Source organism: Homo sapiens, chromosome 7 (assembly GCF_000001405.40).
Source record: "Homo sapiens chromosome 7, GRCh38.p14 Primary Assembly".
Taxonomy (NCBI): domain Eukaryota; kingdom Metazoa; phylum Chordata; class Mammalia; order Primates; family Hominidae; genus Homo; species Homo sapiens.
This window is the reverse complement of record NC_000007.14, coordinates 77,851,330-77,870,466: the sequence shown is the minus strand read 5'-3', so window position 1 is coordinate 77,870,466 and position 19,137 is coordinate 77,851,330. Positions and strand designations below refer to the sequence as shown.

Below are 19,137 nucleotides of genomic sequence, written 5' to 3'. Positions count from 1 at the left end.
TCTCCTGTGCTGGATGCTTCCTGCCCTTGAACAGCGGATTCCAAGTTCTTCAGTTTTGGAACTCGGATTGGCTCTCCTTGCTCCTCAGCCTGCAGATGGCCTATTGTGAGACCTTGTGATAGTGTGAGTTAATACTTAATAAACTCATATATATAATTTTTTTCCATTAGTTCTGTCCCTCTAGAGAACCCTAATACAACATACCAAAAAAAAAAAAAACAAAATGGATTAAAGATTTAAAAGTAATACCTAACACTATAAAACTACTAGAAGAAAACATTGGAGAAACACTTCAGGACACTGATCTAGGCAAAGAATTTTGGGGTAGGACCCCAAAAGCACAGGCAACAAAAGCAAAAATAGACAAATGGAATTACATGAAACTAAAAAGCTTCTGCACAGCAAAGAAAACAACAGAGTGAAGAGACAACCTGCAGAATGGGAGAAAATATTTACAAACTATCCAACAAAGGATTAATAACCAGAATATATAAGGAACTCAAACAACTCAACAGCAAAAAAACAAATAATCCAATTCAAATATATGGGTAAAAGATCGCCATAGATATTTCTCAAAAGAAGACAAACCAAGTGGCCAACAGGTATGTTAAAAAATCAAAACAAAAACAGCAACAACAAAAAAACTCAACATCACTAATCATCGGGGAAATACAAATCAAAACCACAATGAGATATCATCTCACTCTAGTTAAAATGGCTACTATTGAAAAGACAAAAAATAACATATGCTGGTGAGATCTAGAGAAAGAGGAATGCTAATACACTGTTGGTAAGAATGTAAATTAGTACAGCCACCATGGTAAACAGTATGAAGGTTCCTTAAAAAACTAAAAATTGAACTACCATATGATCTAGCAATATAAAAGAAGGAAGTCCTGCCATTTGCAGCAACGTGGATGGAACTGAAGGTCATTATGTTAAATGAAATAAGCCAGTCATAGAAAGACAAATATTGCTATGTTCTCATATATGGGAGCTATAAAAGTTGATCTCATGGAGGTAGAGAGTAATACAGGAGACTGGGAAGTGAGGAGGATAAAGAAAGTTTGGTTAATGGGTGCAAAACACACATAGAAAGAATTAAGTTCTAGTGTTTGATAGCACAGGAGGGTAACAATAATTTATTATATATTTCAATATAGCTGGAAGAGTAGTTTTAAAATGTTCCCAACACAAAGAAATGATAAATGTTTGAGGTAATGGATATCCTAATTACCCTGATCTAATCATTACCCATTGTATGTATCAAAATATTACATGTATCCCATAAGATGTATAATTAATTACGTATCAATTAAAAATTTAAAAACTGAAAAAATGAAACAGATGTAAAGACCTTCAATAACTTGCTCAAAGTCAAAAGAGAACCAATGACAGAACCAGACTGAAAGACAGGATGTTCTATTCCAAAGATCTTTTTTGTTTTTTTGCTTTTTCCTGCTTGATTTTTAAGTCACTAAGATTAATAAAGTACGAATAGGATCTATATTTATGTGTGGTACAAATTCAAGTTGTTCAAGCCAAAATGAAAGGGAATATTTATTTTAAAATTTCTCAGATACTGTGCTAGAACTTTCTCAAAAATCATTTAAAAGTCAACATTATCATTCCCCTTTTAAACGTGAGGAAACTGAGTCTCAGAGATGTTAGCCCAAGGCCAGATAGTTTTTAAAACACAGAAGTTGGATTCCATCTGCAAGCATAAAAGCCCATAGGCTTTCCATTATCTAATGCTACCTTCCTAGGATAAATCTGATTTGTCTTTTCTCAAAATAATAGCAATTTGTGGAAATTGCTATTCTTAGTAGCAGAAACCGTTTCAAATTACTTGTTTAGATGAGAATTAAGTAAATGTGCTACCCATTTCAGGTATATCCATTCTTTGACTTACTGAAATTTGTTTTTAATTAATCAGAATATGAAGAATAGCTTTCACTTTTTCTTTGTATTCATGATTGTAATAAAAAGTTCAATTTTGGCTGGGCGAGTTGGCACATGCCTGTAGTCCCAGCACTCTGGAAGGCTGAGGTAGGAGGATTGCTTGAAGCCGGGAGTTCAAGACCAGCCTGGGCAACAAAGCAAGACTCTGTTCTGCAAAAAAAAAAAAAAAAAAAAAAAAAAAATTTTTTTTTAATTAGCCACTTGCGAGGTGGTGCATGCCTGTAGCTCCAGCTACTTGGGAGGCTAAGGCAGGAAGACTGCTTGAGCTCAGGAGTTGGAGGCTGCATTGAGCTATGATAGTGCAGGATACTACTCTAGCCTGGCAACAAAGTGAGACCCTGTCTCAAAAAAAAAAACAAAAGATCCAATTTTATTACTTCTTTCACATATAAAAGGCTAAATGCCATCCAAGGAGACTGGGAAGTTTCCACCAAGGTACTTTATATAGAATGGGGGGAAAAAAGGAAATGTTTCTTAACATTAATGGGTATATTTATGATATCCTCTCATCTGTATTAACTACTTTATAAAAGGTACTGGGCATGATTTGCCCCCTAGAATACAACTTGCTTTAAAGTTCTGCCAACTTTGTAAATTCCTTAAACAGGGATTCATCAATCTACTAAAACAAAAGATCGTATGTAAAGGAGAACTGCACAGATGTTTTACAGCATCAAGCTGTAGATTAAGTATTTACTTTATTACACTGTCTATCACCCAATCTAAGATGATGTCAGGAGAAAAAAATGAAAGCTCTCACATACTCTTGTCAACTGCTATCTACTATTAGATAATTTTTTCCTATGATACACCAGAACTCCTTAGCTGCGCCCTTTCCCCCACCTTGGATAGAAAGTCCAACCACAGTTACTGAAGTATACTAATGTCTCTGCTTTTTACTCCTCAAATGCCAGTTGAGGCAGTTAATGTTCACAATATTACAATAACAGCAATAATAAGTAGTCAGCATTTATCAAGTGCTGATACCCCTTCCACGTATTAACTTATTTAATTCTCACAGCACTATTAAGTAGGTATTACAGCTATCTCTATGTTTACAGTATAAAGACTTAGGCTGTACAAGGTTAAATAGTAGCAATAAACAGGAATTCAAACACAGACAACCTGGCTCCATAGCTGTGCTCTTACCCACCAGTAATTTCATTAATATCCATCCACAAAAACGACCCTACGTTCACTTGCCTTGGTTCTGATCACTAAGAGATGTCTGGGAAGGGTTACATTTAATCCCTAATCATTGTCATATACTTCTCCCTGTATTACCTTCTGTGGGCTATCTTGCCAGCAGGCAAGCTGTCAGGGCTTATTTAAAAAGCAAATAAAAATACACAAAACTCTTCAAGAAGTCCAACTTAGCCTTAACAACATGTAAAATAATTAGTATTATTAATCAAAGGGTAATTATAAGGACTAAATGTACTAATATGTATGGAGCAAACAACAGGAACAGACATGCAAAAGCTCAATAATTAACCATTATGTCATCTGGCTATTACCTAATGCTTCCTTTTCCTTCATATTGCAGCATGTGACAAGGAAAGAATGTATATGCCTATTTGCATTCTTTTACTACTCATCATAGCATATACTCTGGTTTATCATTCTAAAACATAACCCTGACTAAATCATGTGTACAAAATATAAATCAAGGCTACAGCACCATCCTTGTTTACATATTTCTAATAGTTTACTATAACAAGAAAAGCTATGTCATATTTTAAGGCAATTTAAATGCCAAAAATATTAACATAACTTGGTTACTTATTTTAAAAATACCTAACATATTATTGCTATTCATTCATTTGAAATCAAATAAGAGACCATTAAAGAGAACAATCTTATGCTGTACAGACCAGTATTAACTTTTTTTTTTTACTGACGAGACAATTGAGGCTTTAAGAGACGTCAGGTTTTACAGATGGTAAAACCCAGCTTCTGACTTCCAATTCCATGCCCTTTCCACTGCACCACACTCTTTTACGTAACTTGTTAACCACAGGCCAGTATTTTCCTAAGTATGTTCAACAGATACTCAGGGGAAAAAATTAAGTCAAATAAATTGAGAAATGATATTTTCTCTGTCTGCCTCTTAGACAGTCAACTGCACATTATTTGCACTGGAAAATCCTGAAATCATATAACTTGTTTGCCTGTGTCTCACTCAATATTTCCCAAACTGATTTGACTACAAAATCCTTTTATTCTCCTAATACTTATTAACATCATGTAGAGCACACTTCAGGAAATGTTACTACAGAATAAACTATTACGTTTAATAATTTTTTTTTTTTTTTTTTTTGGAGAGGTAGTCTCGCTCTGTCATCCAGGCAGGAGTGTGGTGGTGTGATCTTGACTCACTGCAACCTCTGCCTCCCAAGTTCAAGTGATTCTCCTGCCTCGGCCTCCCAAATAGCTGGGACTACAGGTGTGCACCACCATGCCTGACTAATTTTTGTATTTTTAGTAGAGACATGGTTTCACCATATTGGCCAGGCTGGTCTTGAACTCCTGACCTCAAGAGATCTGCCCGCCTTCGCCTCCCAAAGTACTGGGATTACAGGCATGAGCCACCGAGCCCAGCCTAATACTTAATGTAATAATCAGTATAAAGAGCCTATTTCACAGATTTGACAACTCAAATCAAGTCCCTTGAAATAAGTGCCTGGCTTGATACATGGCACATCAAAGGTACTTAATTTAAGAATAAAAAACTATATAAATTAGAAGTTTAATATAAATACTGTCTCCTGACAGCACTGTTATCAAAGCAGTAAACATTTACCAAGTACCAAGTATACAGTAAGACCCTGAAATAATGGCGATATAAAGATAATGATTCTTACTCTCATGGATTAGCAGGGGAGATTAATTATCAAGTCAGGCTGTAATAAGCAGTAGAATAAACAAAATACCACTGTAATACAGAAGTAGAATAATAATTGATATTATAAAAGAGATTGGCTGGGTGACATGGCTCACATCTATAATGCCAGCACTTTAGGAGGCTGCGCTGGGTGGAACATGAGGTCAGGAGTTTGAGACCAAGCCTGACTAACATGGTGAAACCCCGTCTCTACTAAAAATACAAAAATTAGCCAGGCATGGTGACGCATGCCTGTAGTCCCAGCTACTCAGGGGGCTGAGGCAGGAGAATCGCTTGAACCCGGGAAGCAGAGGTTGCAGTGAGCTGAGATCGTGCCACTGCACTCCAGCCTGGGCAACAGAGCGAGACTCTGTCTAAAAAAAAAAAGAAAAAAGAGGAGATTCCCAGGTAATTATTGTTAAATGGAGCAGAATGAATTTAGCTTATATGGAACATCTCAGAATGTTTATATCTAGGATGGTAAAAGAGGATCAAGATCTCTCTGTAGCTTTCCCTGTCTCCATGCAGAAACAATTGCTCCCATTTCAAATTTTTTTCCTCAGTGAATACTATCATACTACTAGGGTCATGTCAAAAAGATTCAGAAGCCAACCTAAATAAGCTCCTATTATTAAGACAGAACAATCTGTCTGACAATGGGAAAGACATTATTATGGACAATAACTCCAACAGGTGGAAACATATGAAATATCTTTAAAGCCATAAGTTCATAATGATAATTAAACAAACAAGCAACACAGTGGTGACCTTTGGAGGATGCTAGGTAACTACAATATTACTCTGTAAACTGTAAAGAGAAAGAATCAAGAAAAAAAAAAAGCGCTATACCACTGCCACAAAAAGAACACACACAACTTTCCCATAGGAGCACTAGCAGGAGGAGATACCTAATCCAGTTTTCAGGGGATTATGAAAGATATCCGTGAGGGGAAGATGCCAGCTTTGAGTTTTAAGGAGCAACTTCAGTTAAAAAAAAAAAAAATTAAAAGCATAAGTGGGCAGTCTAAACACTAAGGTGAAAAATAGCATGGGAAGACTTCAAACAGTTTTATTTGGAGGGATGGTGTTAGAAGGTAAGAAAAGTTGAAGGCTGAAAGGGGTAGGCAATGAGGCTACAAAGCTAACTGGAATTAGACCAGAAAAATCGTTATAGGCCTTGCAAAGAGTTTATACCACATATGAAAGAAAGGCTTTGACGAGTGTTAAAAAGATAAGTGACAAGGTCAAATTTTTGTTTAAGATAAATCACTCTGGTGGATGTGAGAAAAAATATTTAACTGGCACAAGAATGAAAGAGTAATGAAGGTAGGGAGATCACAACAGATTTGAGAAATATTTAGAAGACAAAAGCAGTAACAGAATGGTGACTAGAGGAAAAAATTTACAGGGAACTTTATGTGAGTTCCTGTAACACTTTCAAGGTAATTCTACTGTAGCATTTACCATAAAGCATAATAGTTACTTGTTTACATCTTGGCTCCCCCATGATGCAGAGTTTCCTAAAGATAAGAACTCCGTGGGGCTGGGTAAGGTGGTTCACACCTGTAATCCCAACACTCTAGGAGGCAGAGGCTGGAGGATAACTTGAGCTCAGGAGTTTGAGCCCAGCCTGGGCAACATGGAGAAACTCCATCCCTACAGAAAATTTTTTTAAAACTAAGCGGGGATGGTGGCTCACTCCTGTAGTCCCCAGCTACTTGGAAGGCTGAGGTAGGAGCCCAGGATGTTGAAGCTGCAGTGAGCCATGATCGTGCCACTGCACTCCAGCTTGGGCGACAGAGTAAGAACCTATCTTCCAAAAAAAAAAAAAAACAAAACAAAACAGGGAACTCAGTGCCTGATACATAGTAGGCACATCATAAATGTTATTTAAACATAAATGCGTGTAAATCCTATCAGGACATGATTTTTTGGAAAGAGAAAGTCTTGGTTAAAAAAAAAAAAGTCTTTAATAATCCATGTGTAATAAACTTTAGCTTTAGAACTACACTGAGACCAGGTGAGGTGGACAGGGAAGAAAAAAAAAATCTTTAATCCTAAAAATCAATCTCTATAGGTAAAACTAAATGTACTGAATTTTCCTTATATGAAATCAATGTAAGGAGGTTCTACCTAGTAATTTACTCCTTGGTTTTCTACCAGTAAATAAAAATGAACCATATAATAAAGTGTCACAGTGGACAAAACAGCAGTAATTAGAAATACACCCTGCTGCCTACCATTTTGAGATTGGAAAAATAAGACGTCATTCCTCTGATTCCCCAAAGCTGTAAAAGAAGTACATTTTAATAAGGCTACCTTACTAACTAGCTCTTTATATACCATCCTACTTCATTAGAGATTACACTATCCCCCTTCTCCACAAACTAGGTAAACCAGAACTCTTTGTAATTCGAATCCATCACAGGGGTAGAGAAAAAGACACCAAAAACAGAAAGCAAACTAAAGCAAGACTTCACTTAAAATGGCCAGGCAAATATATGCCAATAAGGATATTGATTCAGGGCAAAAGTTCAAATGGGAAACTTTTAGGTTGTATATCTTCAGCATTTTATTCTCTGTGAATCAATCCTTGGTGCTGAATCTACAGCTTTTATTTGAATAAACTCTATGGTCCATTAGGCAAAGAGCAATTTAGCTTCTAAGTTTACCTGTTAAATGGCATTTATGTCATTCTTTGTAGAACTGTAAACATACAGCAGGTTAACTACAGTGTTTTAGTCACTCCCAGGCCTTTCAAAGTTGGTACATTTGCCTAATTTTAGGCTGCCAACAGTAATCTACTACTTTATTTCACCATCATGTCTGTTGCTATGGTTAAAAATAAACTGACTGCAAGACACTTGGAATATAACCGGCAAATATTATATCATTGATGAACATCTCTGTTTTAAACCTATTCATCAAAAAATGAAAAAGATTCCAGGCTAGTTTTCCAGTAAGTCATAAAATATTTTTCTTTCCAATACCCCACAGGTATAAGAAGCTTTATTCAATAAAGAACTTCAGCTCTATTCAAATAGCATCATTTCTTGGATCTCCTCATACCTGTGTAAACTACTACTTTAATTTTTAGGTGCTGTATCTGGCAACCGCTACAGGCCAATGATTGCTTCCTTTTAACGGAAAAACTATTCCTTTTATCCAAAAAAAGTCATAAGCAAATGACTGCAGTATTTCAAATAAATTATATACTATATAGAAATTCCTAGTCTTGATGTACCAAGGTATTTGCAAAACAAAAACCAAAAACATTCTATTATGAAACACTTAACTTCTAAAGAGAACAAATATAAAATAAATGTTAAAAATGTAGAAATGTATGTATTATAGTGCCTTAACACTGTAAAAAAGACATTTCAAAAACCTTAAAGAATTTTCTACTGATAATGTTTTTATGAACTCAGTACTTTTATACTAAGGAGAACTATAGATGGATCCCCTTGGAGTCTATAAACATTACTGTGTAGAAGCCTAAAAAGGTACTGCTAGGGAAGAGTGAAAGGTATTTTTTTCTATTTTTCCTTCTTTTTTTTTTTTTTGAGATGGAGTTTCGCTCTTGTTGCCCAGGCTGGAGTGCAATGGCACGATCTTGGCTCACTGCAACCTCCGCTTTCCAGGTTCAAGCGATTCTCCTGCCTCAGCCTCCTGAATAGCTGGGATTACAGGCATGCGCTACCACACCCAGCTAATTTTGTATTTTTAGTGGAGACGGGGTTTCTCCATGTTGGTCAGGCTGGCCTTGAACTCTCAACCTCAGGTGATGCACCTGCCATGGCCTCCCAAAGTGCTGGGATTACAGGCATGCACCACCACAGCTGGCTAATTTTTGTATTTTTAGTAGAGACGAGGTTTCACCATGTTGGCCAGGCTCTTCTCAAACTTCCGGCCTCAAGTGATCTGCCCACCTTGGCCTCCCAAAGTGCTGGAATTACAGGCATGAGCCACTGTGCCTGGCCTATTTACCTACAATTCTGCAAACTGATTAAACAACAAATCAAGATAAGGCTAAACTGAGAACTCACAATAAAGGACAGATCTATCACAATGTATTATAACCAAAGTCATAATAGACAATAACCACCACAAATCAGGAAAATATTAGAAAATGGTCATTTCTACTCTATTTGCAGTGTTAAAGGAAAGAGTCAAAAGTAAAAGAAAATTTGATCATTTAAAAAAAAATACCCAGAAAATTCACCACGTAGGATAGTGCATTCCTCAAAATTACCATGTAGAATTAAGTGTAAGATATAACTGAAACTATATCTGCCTTTATAGCTATCTATTCTATCCACTTTTTAATGCATCATTTGTTTTGTTCCTTCCTAAAACACCCCTCTTTACCATGAAAACAAAGTACTTCAAAGGATCCCAGATAAAGAATGACACACCCTAAGGAAAAAATTGTGTTAGAAATTAAAGCAAACAATAAAAATAAATAAATAAAAATAAAAAAAGAAATTAAAGAATAAGGGAGAGAGCAATTAAATGTAAGTACATAATTTTCAAAAATACAAAGGAAAACTGACCACTTCTAATGGTGTTTTTCCATTTTAACTGATATAGAAATGTCCAATTTAAGAGAACAATTAAGGCCAGGTAAGGTGGCTCATGACTGTAATCCTAACAATTTGGGAGGCCGAGGTGGGAGGATAACGTGAGCCCAGGAGTTCGAGACCAGCCTGGGCAGCAGAGTGAGACCCCATCACTACAATACACAAAACAAAAAATTAACAGGGCATGATGGCACGTCCCTATATGGGAGGCTGGGGTGGGAGGATTGCTTGAGCCGAGGAGGTCAAGGCTGCAGTGAACCGTGATTGTGCCACTGCACTCCAGCCTGGGTAACAGAGTGAGAGCCTGCCTCAAAAAAAAAGAGCAATTAACAAAAACCTTTAATTTAACATTTGATTAATAACAACAGTCTATATTTAGCAAAAGTGAACAGAAGGGAGAGGAAGTGCTATAGCAGTATTTATTGAATACCTACTATACACCAAGCACTGTACTTGGTGTTTATATATGTTGTGTCATTTAATCATCACAGCAATTTTAAAAGGATTCTTATCTCAATATTACAGATAAAGAAACCAAGGCTTAGGAAAGTTAAGAAACTCACCCAAAGTTGCTAAATAAAAATAAAACCAGCTAACCTAGGACAGCCAAATATGTCCTCTAGTACATAATCACTTTAAATTGTTGTGTATAATTAGCCCCAAATACAAAATCCTGTAGCCTCAAAGACAGGAATGGCTTTTCGGTAGCCTGTAGCAGTTATAGAAAAAATAATATTCTCATACATTTGATTTCAATAAGAGTATAAATTTTTTAAACTGCACATGTCGACTCAACTGCTCCAATTTTATAACAAAAACAACAGATTAATATTTTATACACATCTAAATGTAAACTTTTATATTCAATGTTTTTTGGTCCCAATAGAGACAATCAGCATTTTAAGAGACAATCAATAATTTATCACAAAGTAGGTTTGACAATCCTCCAAGATTAGGACATTGAGAAATATACACTCTGGTTTAACTTACATGCAGTTTTTTAAAAGTGAAAGAATGTTATTATTATTTATAATAAGTAAGAAAGGAAACCTCATAACTGTTAGGTTAAACAACCCAAATATCTATTTAATAAGAACTGAAAGCAGAAAATTGTGCTTAATTTTGCATAAACGTATTCCTTAACACTTCATATAAGAGGAGCTAGGTACCAGGCATGGTGGCTCACACTTGTAATTCCAGCACTTTGGGAGGCCAAAGCAGGAGGATTGCTTCAGCCCAAGAGTTCAAGGCCAGCCTGAGCAACACAGTGAGACAGGGTCTCATTGTAAATTAAAATAAAAAAATTAGCCAGGTGTGTTAGTGCATGCCTATAGTCATAGCCTCAGCTACTCCAGAGGCTGAGGCGGGAAGATCGCTTAGGCCTGGGAGGTTGCGGCTGCAGTAAGCTGTGATTGTGCCACTGTACTCCAACACAGGTAACACAGAGAGACCCTGCTTCAAAAAAAAAAAAAAAAAGAAGAAAGAAAGAAAAGAAATTCTCACTTCCTGTTTTGCAAGGTATCTTTAAGGAATGAAAAATTTTTTTTAAAAAAAGAGGACCTAGGTGTTCGACAATCGTAACTTTTAAGAACATGAAGAAAATATTTGGGATCCTGACCTTCTCTTACTCAGTTCTTCACTGGTGGTCTACGATACAGCTACACAGATGGAAATAAAGCTACACATCTCCACACGAAATCCATTAAAACCAGTAAATATACTTCAGTTATCCTTCAGTAGTAGGTTGAATAGTGTCCCACAAATATTCACATGCACCGGAACCTCAGAATAGTTCCTTATTTGGAAATAAGGTCTTTGCAGATGTAATTAGTTAAGGATCTCAAGATAAGATCTTAACTTAGATGAGACTTAAATCCAATGACTACTGTCCTCATAAGAAAAGGAGAGAACACAGAAAGAGTGTGAAGAAGGCAATGTGAAGATTGAGGTGAAGATTGGAATGATGAATCTACAGGCCAGGGAACAACAAGGATTGTTCACTAGAAGTTAGGAGAAAGCAGAGAACAGTTTTTCCCTCACAGTCTCTCTCCAGAAGGAACCCATCCTTGCTGACACCTTGATTTTGGACTTCTGGACTCATGAATGGTGAAAAAAATAAACTTCTATTGTTTTAAGTCACCCAGTTTGTGGTCATTTGTTATGAAAGACATAGAAAACCAATATAACTTCTTATATCTTGTTATAACCACTGAGTTAATTTATTTCATTATCACAATAAATTAAACCATGAGACTATATACAGAAGCACTCTTGGGAAAAATGCTATTTAAATGTATGGTGGTACTCTAACATCATCATCATTCCTGTCATTGTTAAATCAACACATATGTATCTGTAATACTAACCCTATCTTTAAAAAAAAAAAAAAAAGTGTATACTTCTCCAAAGACAGAGACATCAGAGGTCACCTAAAAACAAACAAACAAACAAAAAAAACCTCTCAAATTAAACAAATGAGTTACATCAAAGTCTCTTCGGTCTGTTTCTCAAAGAAACTTTAGGACAGGAAGACCAGTGGCCTAAAAGTCAGCAGACCTTAGTTTTGGTTTTAATCACTAATTCATGATCAAGTTATTAACTTCTAAGGGTGTCCGATTTCTTGCCTATAAAGCAAAAAGTTTAACAGGAACTAGATAACCTCTAAAGTCAAACCCTCAACTATCACATAGTATAGTTTCTTTTTTCCTTGTAAACAAATAAAACTAAAACCCAAATTATTTAGGCTACAGATACCCAAACTGGAGACAGTGTGTAGGAGGAAAATTAAGAACTTCATAACCAAAATAGGGAAGAAAAATCCTAAGTGAAAAGGCAAATGTTACAGCAACTAAACTAACCTATCTATTTCTGCTAGGATAAGTCTTATTTTTGGCAAGTAAGTGACATTAAAGAGGAAGAGATGGAAAACATGATCAGTGACTGAAGCAAGCAAAATTGAGGTTTATAAGTGCTATTTAATCATGATTTTGCTGTATGCATGTTAGACAACAAACACCAACTAAATACCCACTTTTCTACCTTTGGATATTAGAAGTCTAGTATTTCAGATTTTTCATTTACAAGAAATTTTAAGCCTCATGAGAATTTTTTTAATCCATGAAATAAAGTACTCTGATAAGTTTAAGGAATATAAAGCAATAACTCTGGGTTGACAGCTGACCCATGTAACAATAATTAATCCTTAAATAAATATAAAAGACAGTGTTATCCCTTTATATACATGAACAAAGTGGAATTCAGAGAAATTAGGCAACTTATCCAAAGTTATACAGACTCTCAAGAACAAGGATTCAAATCTCTGCTTTCTAAAACCCAAAACCTGTGTTCTTGTTAACTACTAAGATACACTGCCTCATATGGTGGTTACCATCAGATGGTTGTGACGGAAGGTTTTTGATCTGAGCCATATTTTACACAGGTGTTCAGCTGGTAAAAATTCATCAGGCTGATTTATATTTCATGTGATTTTCTGAATATATACTGTTACTTCTTTAAAAATTAATACGTGTTTGTATATACATACTCCTTCCATGTTTTAGTCAGGGCTCTTAAAAAAAATCCAATTCAAACTAGCTTCAACAAAGGGAGAATTCCTTAGCGGATAATGGCTGAACTACTCAAAGCTTGGGGCAAAGCTAATCTCAGGGTAGAGAGAATCCAAAGACCAGAGTACCATGATGGCCTGTGGTTGTCTCTTTTTCCTATTCATGACCTCTGGGGCTATCTCATTTCCTCCTTCTTTCCACAACTTTCTCCAATACAGTAACACATCTAGAGGTAGCTCCAGACTTTCATCCTTGTTAACTCCCCCATGAAAGAAGCAAGAGTCTTTCCTATCAGCTCTAATTTTTGAAAAGTTTATGAAAGGACAGCTTAGGTCACTGCGCATACCTGGACTGATCACTGTGGCCAAGGGGATGAAGAACCATCTCTGGCCTTGCCTTAACCACATACCCACCAGTTTGGCCAGATCAAAGGAAGAGTATTAGTAGCAAAAACATGGTCATTAGAGATATTCTTAAGTACTGAAAGATACTCTAATTTGTCATCTGTTATATTGCAAGTCATAAGATAATTACTATTATTATTTTTAAGAGTGATAAAGTCATCCCTCAGTATCTGTGGGGGATTAGTGCCAGGAACACTTGCAGATATCAAAATCCATGAATGCTCAAGTCCCTTATAGAAGATGGTGTAATATGTGCATATAACATATGCACATCCTCTCATATACTTTATATAATCTCTAGATTATTTATAATACCTAATACATTATAACTGTTCTGTAAATAGTTGTTATACTGTATTGTTTAGGGAATAACGGCAAGGAAAAAAAAGTCTGCACATGCTCAGTACAAACAAAACCACCCATTTTTAAAAAATACTTTTAAGCCAGGTATGGTAGCTCACACCTGTAATCCCAGGACTTCGAGCCTAGGAGTTCAAGACCAGCCTGGGGAATATAGCAAGACCCCATCTTTACAAAAAATTAAAAAATGATCTGGGTGTGGTGGTGCGTGCCTGTAGTCCCAGCTACTTGGGAGGCTGATGTGGGAGGATCATTTGAGTCCAGAAGTTCTAGGTTACAGTGAGATATGAGCACACCACTGTACTCTAGCCTGGGAGACAGAGCAAGGCACTGTCTCTAAAAATAAATAAATAAATAAGTAAAAATTTTTAAAAATTTATTTTTGATTCACAGTTGCTTGAATCCACAGATGTGGAGCCCACAGACCTGGAGGGCTGACTGTACTTCATATTTATTGACAATTTATAAACCACTTAAACATTTATTTTTATTTTTTAGAGATGAGGGTCTTGTTATGCTGCCCAACCTGGACTCAAAATGTTGGACTCAATCAATGCCTCAGCTTTGTAAGTAGCTGGGTGTGCACACTATAGGTGTGCAACATCACACCTGGTAAAAAAAACTTTCAAGAAATCATATTTAGGTTATTGGAGCAAGATGGTCAAATACAAACCTCTAGCAATCATGCTACCAGAAGAAACACCAAATTGAACAAACTACACAAGAAAGCACCTCTATAAAAACCAAAAATCAGGTGAGTAAACAAAGTACTTTGTTTTAACCCTTATCAAGGAAAGACACACTGAAAAGGGTAGGAAAGACAGTCTTGAATTGTCAACACCACCCCTCCCACATTCCCAGCAGCAGCCACGTGGTGTGGACAGAGTATATCAACGTGCTTGGGGGACAGAAAGTGTAGTGATTATGAGACTTTGCATTGGAACTCGGTGCTGCCCTGTCACAGTGGAAAGCAACATGGGGCAGAATTCAGCTGGTGCCCCTGGAGGGAGCATTTAGACCAGTCCTAGGCAGAGGGGTATCATCCAGCCAAGCAGTCAGAAACTGCGTTCCGGCTAGCCCTACCACCACAGGTTACCGCCTTCTGTGGCCCTAAATAAACTTGAAAGGCACTCTAGGCCACAAGGACTGCAATTCTTAGGCAAGTCCTGGTACTGTGCTGGGCTCAGAGCCAGTGGACTTGGCGTGCATGCAACCCAGTGAGATAGCAGCTGGGGCAGCCAAGAGAATGCTTGCACCACTCCTTCTCCAACTCCAGGGAGTGCAGCTCACAGCTCTGGGAGAGACTCCTTCCTTCCATTTGGGGAGAGGAGAGTGAAGAGTAAGGAGGACTAAGAAGACTTTGTCTTGGAACTTGGATAGCAGGTGAGCCACAACAGAATAGGGCACTGGGCAGAGTCCTGAAGTGCCCATTCGAGGCTGTAGCTCTCAGACAACACTTCTAGACACCCTGGGACAGAAGGGAACCCACTGCCTTGAAGAGAAGGACGCAGCCATGGCATGATTCATCACCTGCTGACTAAAGACCCCTTGGGTCTTGAATACACATAAGTGGTACCCAGGCGGTACTCACTGCAGGTCTTGGGTGAGACCCAGGGTCCTGCTGGCTTTGGGTGTGACCCAGCACATTCTCAGCTGTGATGGCTACAAAGAGTGATTCCTTCTGCTTAAGGAAGAGAAAGGGGGACTTCGTCTTGCAGCTTGGGCACCAGCTCAGCCACAGTAGGGTAGAACACCAGGCAGGCTCCTGGGTTCCTTGATTCCAGGCCTTGGGTCCTGGTCAGCATTTCTGGACCCAGCATGGGCCAGAGCAAAGCCTGCTGCCCTGAACAGAGAGAACAGGCCTGGCATTACTCACCAAACACTGAATGAAGAGCCCTTGGTCCTTGAGTGAACACTGGCAGTAGCCAGGCAGTACTTGCTGTGGGCCTGGGGCGGTGGTGGCCACAGAGAGAAACTCCTACATGAGCAAAGGAGAAAGAAGAGTGCAAAAAACTTTGTCTTGTGGCTTGGGTGCCAACACAACTGCAGCAGAATACAGCATGGAGTAGATTTCTAAGATTCCTGACTCCAGGCTCTGGCTCCTGGATGGCATTTCTGTACCTGCCCTGGGCTGGGGTTGGGGGGTACGGGGAGTAGGGCAGGGGAGCTTGATGCTCTGGAGGGAAGGACGCAAGCCTAGCTGGATTTACTACCTGCTGACTGAAGAGCTCTTGGGCCTTGAGTGAATGTTACTGATAGCCCAGGTAGTAGTCGCTGTAGGCCTTGGGCAAGACACAGTGCCATATTGGCTTCAGGTCTAACCTGCACAGTCCTAGTAGTGGTAGCCAAAGGGGTGCATGCATCACCCTTCCCCCAGCTCCAGGCAGCTCAGCAGACAGAGAGACTCCATTTGTTTGGTGAAAACTAAAGGAAAGGAAGAGACTCTCCCTGACAATCCAGGGAGTCTTCCCAGTTCTTACTGAAGACAACCAAAGCAGTACCTGCACAAGTTTGCAAGAGTCACAGCATTACCAAGCTTGGGTTGCCCCCTGATGCAGACATGGCTGCAGTGACCAAAGATTTAGATCACAAAACTAAATTCCCTTTGAATACTTGGAAATCCTTCCCAAGAAGGATAGGTACAAACAAACCCAGGATACAAAGAATACAATAAATACCTAACTCTTCAATGTCCAAACATCAATGAACACCCACAAACATCAAGACCATCCAGGAAAACATGACCTCACCAAATGAACTAAATAAGGCACCAGTGACCAATTCCCGAGTAACAAAGGTATGAGACCATGAAGACAGATAATTCAAAATAGCTATTTTGAGGAAGCTCAATGAAATTCAAGATAAAAGAGAGAAGGAATTTGGAATCCTATTAGAAAAATTTAACAATAAGATTGAAATAATTTTAAAATGTTAATCAAATTCTGGGGCTTCAAGATATACTGGTTGACTTTAAAAAAAAGAAAGAGAGAGAGAGAAAAAAAAATCTAGAGCTGAGTGGCCAGGCACGGTGGCTCATACCTGTAATCCCAACACTTTGGGAGGCCGAGGTAGGCGAATTGCTTGAGCTCAGAAGTTTGAGACCAGCCGGGGCAACATGTTGAAACCCTGTCTCTACTAAAATACAAAAAATTAGCTGGGCATGGTGGTGCACACCTGTAGTCCCAGCTACTCAAGAGGCTGAGGCACGAGAATTGCTTGAACCAAGGAGGCAGAGGCTGCAATGAGCTGAGATCACACCACTGCACTCCAGCCTGGGCAACAGAGCAAGACTCTGTCTCAAAAAAAAAAAAATTCCAGAGCTGAAAAATTCAACTGACATACTGAAGAAAACATCAAAGTCTGTCAACAGCAGAACTGATCAAGCAGAAAAAAGAATTAGTGAGCACACTATTTGAAAATACAGTCAGAAGAGACAAAAGAAAAAAGAATAAAAAAGAATGAAGCATGGCTATAAGATCTAGAAAATACCCTCAAAAAGGCAAATCTAAGAGTTACTGACTTTAAAAAGGAGGCAGAGAGAGAGATATTGGGGTAAAAAGTTTACTCAAAGAGATAATAACAAATCTAGAGAAAGATATCAATATTCAAGTATAAGAAGGTCGTAGAACAACAAGCAGATGTAACCCAAAGAAGACTACCTCAAGGCATTTAATAATCAAACTCCTGAAGGTCAAGAATAAAGAAAGGAGCCTAAAACTGGCAAAAGAAAAGAAACAACATGCAATGGAGCTCCAATACATCTGGCAGCAGACTTCTCAGTGGAAACCTTACAGGCCAGGAGAGAGTGGCATGACATATTTAAAGTGCTGACGGAAAAAAACTTTTATCCTTTAATAGTATATCCAGGAAAAATATCTTTCAAACATGAAGGAAAAATACTTTCCTAGACAAACAAAAGGTGAGAGATTTCATCAACACCAGATCTGTCCTTCAAGAAATGCTAAAGGGAGTTCTTCAATCTGAAAGGAGGTTAAAAAGCAATAAGAAACATCTGAAGGTACAAAACACACTGGTAATAGTTAAGTACACAGACAAACACAGAATATTGTAACACTGTATTTGTGATATATAAACCACTCACATATTGAGTAGAAAGACTAAAAGATGAACGTATTAAAACTAACAACTACAACAACTTTTTAAGATAAAGACAGTATAAAAAGATATAAATAGAAACAACAAAAAGTTAAAAAGCAAGGGGCATTTGCTTGTTAGTTTTTGCAATCGGTATTAAGTTGTCATCAGTTTAAAACAATGGGTTATGAGATGTTACTCACAAGCCTCATGATAACCTCAAATCAAAAAACCTACAACAGATACACAAAAAATAAAAAGCAAGAAATCTAATTTTTCTATTTTTAGTAGAGATGGGGTTTCACCATGTTGGCCAGGCTGGTCTTAAACTCCTGACCTCAAGTGATCTGCCTGCCTCAGCCTCCGAAAGTGCTGGGAATACAGGCGGGAGCCACCATGCCCAGTCAAAAATAACTTTAAAAAATTAGCCAGGTGGGTGGCACATGCCTGTGGTCCCAGCTACTCAAGAGGCTGAGGCAGGAGGATTGCTTGAGCCCAGGAATTCAAGGCTGCAGTGAGTTATGATTGTGCCACTGCACTGCAGCCTGGGCAACAAAGCAAGGCTATCTCACACACACACACAAAAAAACCTTTGGAAACTACACAAACACATGGAAATTAAACAATATGCTCCTGAATTACCAGTGAATCAATGAAGAAATGAAGAAGAAAATTTAAAAAATTATTGAAACAAATAAAATAGAAATACAACATACTAAAACTTATGAGATACAGTGAAAGCAGTACTAAGAGGAAAGTTTAATCCTCTTTAATCCAATCAGCCCCTATATCAAAAAAGTTGAAAAACTCAAACAACCTAACAGTGCATCGTAAATAACTAGAAAATAAAAGCAAATCAAACCCAGAATCAGTAGTAGAAGAAAATAAATAATAAAAGTTCAGAGCAGTAATCCCAGCACTTTGGGAGGCCAAGGCAGCCAGATCACTTGAGCTCAGTAGTTCAAGACCAGCCTGCATAACACAGTGAGATCTGTCTCCAAAAAAAAAAAAAAAAATCAGAGCAGAAATAAATGAAATCGAAACCAAAAAATACAAAAGATCAATGAAATAAGTTTGTTTTTTGAAAAAATAATCAACAAACCTTTAGCCACACTAAGAAAAAAAGAAGACACAAATAAATATAATTAGAGATGAAAACGGACATATTATAATGGACTCTACAGAAATTCAAAGGATTATTAGAGACTGCTATGAGCAACTATATGCCAATAAATTGGAAAACCTAGAAGAAATGGACAAATTCCTAAACACAGACAAGCTACCAA

General features: G+C 37.7%; 1 protein-coding gene across 23 annotated transcripts in view; it reads right to left on the bottom strand.

Annotated features, from left to right (window-relative positions):
• The window catches only part of PHTF2 (putative homeodomain transcription factor 2), a 158,732-nt gene that overhangs the window by 87,038 nt on the left and 52,557 nt on the right, over positions 1 to 19,137 (bottom strand). The window contains exon 2 of one of the 23 annotated variants that reach the window (NM_001366089.1): positions 15,633 to 15,734. The exons of the other annotated variants lie outside the window; for them this stretch is intronic. Within the exon in view, the coding sequence (NP_001353018.1) occupies positions 15,633 to 15,734 (102 nt within the window). The remainder of the gene's footprint in view (positions 1 to 15,632; positions 15,735 to 19,137) is intronic. 23 annotated transcript variants of the gene reach the window in all.